The sequence below is a fragment of the Homo sapiens genome, chromosome 14 (genome assembly GCF_000001405.40).
Source record: "Homo sapiens chromosome 14, GRCh38.p14 Primary Assembly".
Lineage (NCBI taxonomy): Eukaryota > Metazoa > Chordata > Mammalia > Primates > Hominidae > Homo > Homo sapiens.
This window is the reverse complement of record NC_000014.9, coordinates 51,258,283-51,264,282: the sequence shown is the minus strand read 5'-3', so window position 1 is coordinate 51,264,282 and position 6,000 is coordinate 51,258,283.

The window sequence follows — 6,000 nt, the reverse complement described above, 5'->3', positions numbered from 1 at the left end:
ACTACATCACTACAGTTTGTTTCAAACTAACAAGTTTCAGGCCTCAAGGAGCTGACAGTCAGGTTTTGGAGACAAGTATGAATCTAATAATTGTCTTCTTAAAGGTAGAGAAGAAACTTCAGTAATCATTTTACACATAAATTGAGGACAAGAGATGTATGGTCTTTGCTCAATGTCACTTAGCTAATTGGTATAATAAATGCAAGAGAAGAAACATTACAAGACAAATGTGACTTAACTGCCAGAGGATGATAAAACCTACACTTGTGGGCCGGAAAGGACTTTAAACGGATTTCAGCTGACTTATGAACCAACAGACAATGTGAGGAACATTCACTGAAGAGCTGATTTGTTAAAGTGGTCTCAAGAATATTAATTGAGGTGGATGGTAGGCAGATAGTTAAGAACATTTAAAATTTCCAACCAAGAAATATATATTTGATTCTGTGGAACATGGGAGATATCTAAAGTTTAGAGAACATTTCTTAAGAATGCCCTGCTACCTCAAAAAAAAAAAAAAAAAAAAATTAGCCAGGTGTGGTGGTCCACGCCTGTGGTCCCAGCTACACAGGAGGCTGAGGCAGGAGAATCGCTTGAACCCAAGAGGCAGAGGTTGCAGTGAGGTGAGATTGCGTCACTGCACTCCAGCCTGGACTACAGAGTAAGACTGTCTCAAAAAAATAAATAAATAAATAAAAGCCCAGGTAGCAATATGCCAATCATCCTAAGGACTTGAACTGATATACTCAAATCCACTAGGTAACCTTATTTCTGACCTGCTTTATTAAAAACACTGAAAATAGGAAGGCTTGAAAAAAATACATTGCTTAAGTTACTCTTAAAAATTAAGTATGTTTCCACTGAACTTAAAACGATGACTCTTAATTATATTTACATTTAAAAGAAGTTTCAGATAAGTCAAACCTCTATTTGGTCAATTTACTTCTGGTGTTTTCATTTCTCATGTTTTGGACACAACCAGTCTGAGTTATAACACCACTAGGAAAACAAGCTTAAAAGTAATGTCACACCCAAGTGGGTAGAAGATACAAGCGGATTTCATTACCAGGCAAAATACTGATATTATCACCATTTGTAATTAATGAATCAAAATAAACAATTACTTTAAAAGAGAGAGAGGGGAATGATGTCAGCAACAGGGCAGAATAGAAGGCTCCTGACTGTCCTTCATCCCACAGACACACTGGGTAAACACCTACACATGGATCAGCTCTCAAGAGAAAGCCAGAATCCAGCTGAAAGACACCTACACACCATATGACTGAGAAAATATCCACATCAAAACAGGTAGGAAAAGTGGAGATACACCAGCACACTAACCCTACCGTGAGCATGGCACCTTAAAAACAGAAAGGAAACTCCAAATCCTAGCTTCTTCCTGATGGGTGAGGGACTTATACCACATGTGCTCAACATTTACAGTCCCTGCCTTAAAGTCTGACACTTAAAATTACTTTGCTTGGGAAACAGGAGGGCATGGCATCAGATTTCCTTCAAGCACAAACAACAAAGGGGGCTTTTGAACCAAACAAACACTCCCAGTTGCTGCAGTCCCCAGGATCAGCTCAGCTCCCAACTTGTTCCTGAAAGGGTTTGAACACACACTTTTCCAGCAGCTCCCTGAGATTCTGGCTTCTAACAAACCTGTACCTGGTAACCTACATAGCAAAATAAAGAATAAACCTCACTTTGGGAGGCTGAGGCAGGAGGATGAAACCAGGAGTTCAAGACCAGCCTGGGCAACATAGCAAGATGCTGTTTCTACTTAAAATTTTAAAATTAGCTGGGTGTGGTGGTGTGTGCCTGTAATCCTAGCTACTTGGAAGGCTGAGGCAGAAGGATCACTTGAGCCCAGGAGTTTGAGGCTGCAGTAAGTTATGAAGCTGCGACTGCATTAAAGCCTGGGTGACAGAGCAGGACCCTGTCTCCAAAACATATATATATATATAAGGCTAGGTGTGGTGGCTCACACTTATAATCTCAGCACTTTGGGAGGCCAAGGCAGGATGACTGCTTGAGCCCAGGAGTTCAAGACCAGCCTAGGCAACATAGTTCAGACCTCATCTCTAAAAAAAAACCCCCAAAATTTAGCTGGGCATGGTGGCATGCACCTGTAGCCCCAGCTACTCGGGAGGCTGAGGTGGAGGATCACCTGAGCCCAAGGACGTTGAAGCTGAAGTGAACCATGATCATGCCACTACACTCCAGCCTGGGCAACAGTGAGGCCCTGTCTCAAAAAATATATAAATAAATAAATAAATCTCTTCAAGTCTAAACGGGAAGCATGGCACTCCCTATGTCACCTTCCTTAACTTGCTATAGCTCTCCAGGGAAAGAGGTTGGAGACTTCTGCCAGCAAGAATGGGAGCGATAGCATCCCCTGCACCTTCTTGACCAGCAAGGGGTACCTCTCTATGTATAAAAGGGAAAGCAGACACTCCCTGCCTTCCTCCCTGGCTTACTTCAGTGACAACTCCAGGAAAGTCTCCCCCTGCTAGGAGGTTGTGAAACTTCTGTTTGCTCTAACAGGAGAGTGAGCACTCCCAACATCATCTTCTCTGGCTTGTTCCAACAACAGATCCAACCTGCAAACTCTGTGGAAAGTTTCCACATGCATCTAGCACCCCAACTTGTAAAGCCTTCACTAAGCCTTTACTGGCACCTACATCACCTAGTTCTGGAAACTGACAGAGCTCTGTATTCCTGAGTCTTCTGGACCATAGAGAACAAACAGATGACTTTTAAACTTGTACGTTCAGCAGCTATCTCCCCAGGTTCAAAGTGCACAACCTGAACAAGACTTTAAGGATCTGCTTCTGACCCGTCCTTGATGTAAGATAGAAAGAGTCAGAGATAAACTCTGGCTCTCAGCTTCTCTGCAAGGGAAGAACTGAATCATATCTCACACTCCAACCTCTGCAGTTGCATTCCAAAGGACTGCCTTCTATCCTGCCTCTTACAAGGCAATAGTATGACTTGATGCTCTCTAATTTCTTGGGGTCCACTAAGAACAAAGATTCTTTGGACAAGCACAAAGAGTTTAGAGGCACTTAGAATCTCTGGTGGGGCTGACTGAGGGAGAACATCTACATGAGGCCAGTCTACCAAGACTTGGAGGGGGATTCTTTTATCTAATGAGCAAAAACTAACACAAAAATTACGGACAATGAAGAAAAAGGGAAATGTATTCCAAGTAAAAAAAAAAAAAAGATAAATCTCCAGAAGCCAACCCTAAGGAAATGGAGATATGTCATTTGCCTGACAAAAATTCAAAAGGACAGTCATAAAGATGCTCACCAAGGTAAGGAGAGCCATTCTTAAAGAGAGAAATTCAATAAAAAGATAGAAAATATTAACAAGTACCAAACAGAAATCATCAAGCTGAAAAATACAATAACTAAACTAAAAAACTCAGAATGGTTCAACAACAGATTAGATCAAGCAGCAGGATTAGCAAATTTGAAGACAGGTCATTGGAAATCATTCAGCCTGAAGAGAGGAAAAAAAAAGGATAAGAAGGAGTGAAGACAGCCTAAGGGACATACAGGACATCATCAAGCAGAATTTATGCATTATCATTGTGCCAGGAAAAGAGAGAAAGGGACAAAACATTCAAACAAATAATGGTAAAAAATTTCCGAAGTCTGAAGAAGGAAATAGAAAGCCAGGTCCAGGAAGTTCAATGATGTAAAAGGATGAATCCAGAGACCAACACCAAAACATATTATAATCAAACTGTTCAGAAGTTAAAGACAAAGAGAAGATATTGAAAGCTGCAAGGAAAAAGTGACTCGCTACATTCAAAGGGGCTGCCCCATAAGACTATCACTGGGTTTTTCAAAAGAAACCCTGCCAACCAGAAGGAAATAGGATGATATATTCAAAAAGCTGAAAGGAAAAAACCTTACCAACCAAGATACTATCTATACCCAGCAATCCTGTCTTCCAAAAACTTTACCTGAAAAACAAAAGCTAATGATTTATCACCGCTAGACCTGCCTTACAAGAAATCCCAAAAGGACTCTTCAAAAAATACCGCTAAGTAGCAACATGAAAATATATCAAGATAGAAAACTCACTGGTAAAAGTATACAGTCAAATTCAGAACACTCATACTCTGATGGTGGTATAAAAAACAATTATATATCTAGTACAAAGGCTAAAAGACAAAACTATTAAAAAAACCATAGCTAGAATAATTTCTTAAGGAACACAAACTATAAAATATATAAAACATGTCAAGAAAAACACTAGTAGGGAGTAAAAGTGTAATTTGTGCAAGTGATCAAAATTAAGGTGTTATCAGCTTAAAATAGCCCGTTATTAGTATGTTTTACGCAAGCCTTGTGGTAACCACAAAGCAAAGATCCTTAGTAGATATACAAAAAATAAAAAGTAAATATTAAAGCATACCACTATAAAAAGTCAAGGAACCACAAAGGAAGACAGCAATAGAGGAAGAGAGGAACAACTGATCCACAATATTGACCAGAAAACAATTAACAAAATGACAGTATTAAGTTCTTACCTATCAATAGTTACTTTAAATATAAATGGATTAAACACTCCAATCAAAAAGCAGAGCAGATGAATGGTTTTAAAAAAAAAAGAAAAAAGAAAAAAAGACCCAACTACATACTGCCTAAAAGAGACTGACTTCACTTCTAAGGACATATATAGACTGAAAGTGAAGGTATGAAAAAAGATATTCCATGAAAATGTAAAGCAAAAAGGCAAAACAGTATGGTAATGGCATAAAAACAGTCACATCAACCAACGGAATAGGATAGATAGCACAGAAATAAACCCAAGTATTTATAGTCAATTGATTTCCAAAGAGGATGCCAAGAACACACAATGGGAAAAAGAGTTTCTTCAACAAATGGTGTTTGGAATAAGTGCTTTTACCAACATGCAGAGGAATGAAATGGAATTCTTATCTCACACCATAATCAACTCAAAATGGATGAAAGACTTAAACCTAAGACCTGTAACTATAAAGTTACTGGAAGCTCTACAACATTCATCTGGGCAATGATTTTTTGAACAGAACTCCAGAAGCACAGGCAACAAAAGCAAAACCAGACAAATGGGGTTGCATCAAACTGAAAAGCTCCTGCACAGGAAAAGGCATAATCCATATATTGGGAGAAAATATTTGCAAACCATATAACTGATAAAGAGCCAATATCTAAAACATATAAGGAACTAAATTCTATTTATTTAGAAATAATTTCTTATTAATGTCTAATAATTTCTAATGATTTATTAATAAATCAATTCCAGTTATTAAGAAAAATAACTTTTTTAAATGGGCAAAAGATAAACAGATATTTCTCAAAACACACAAATAGCTAACAGATATAAGAAATGCTCAACATCTCTAATTATCAAGGAAACACATATTAAAACCCAATCAGAGATCACCTGTTAACAATGGTTATGATCAAAAAGACAAATAAGTATTAGTGAGAATTTTGAGAAAAGGGAACCCTTGTACACTCTTGGTGGGAATGTAAATTAGTACAGCCATTTTGGAAAATAGTATGAAGTTTCCTCAAAAAACTAAAAAAAACAGAATTACCCTGTATCCCGGCAATCCCAATTCTGGATATGTATCCAAGGAACTGAAATCAGTATGTTGAAGAGATATTTGCACTCCCATGTTCATTTCAGCATTATTCACAGTAGCCAAGATAGGGAAGTAACCTAAGTTTCTGTCAATGAATGAATGGGTAAAGAAAATGTAGTATACATGCTGGAATACTATACAGCCTTAAAAAAGGAAGGAAATTCTGTCACTTGCAGTAACATAGACAGAATTGAAGGACATTATGCTAAGTGAAATAAGCCAGGAAGAGAAAGAAATACTGTATGATCTCACTTATATGTAGAACCTAAAAAAGTTAATCTCATAGAAACAATACAAAGGTGGTTACAAGAGGCTGGGAAGTAAGGGAGGAATGGAGAAAGAGAAGA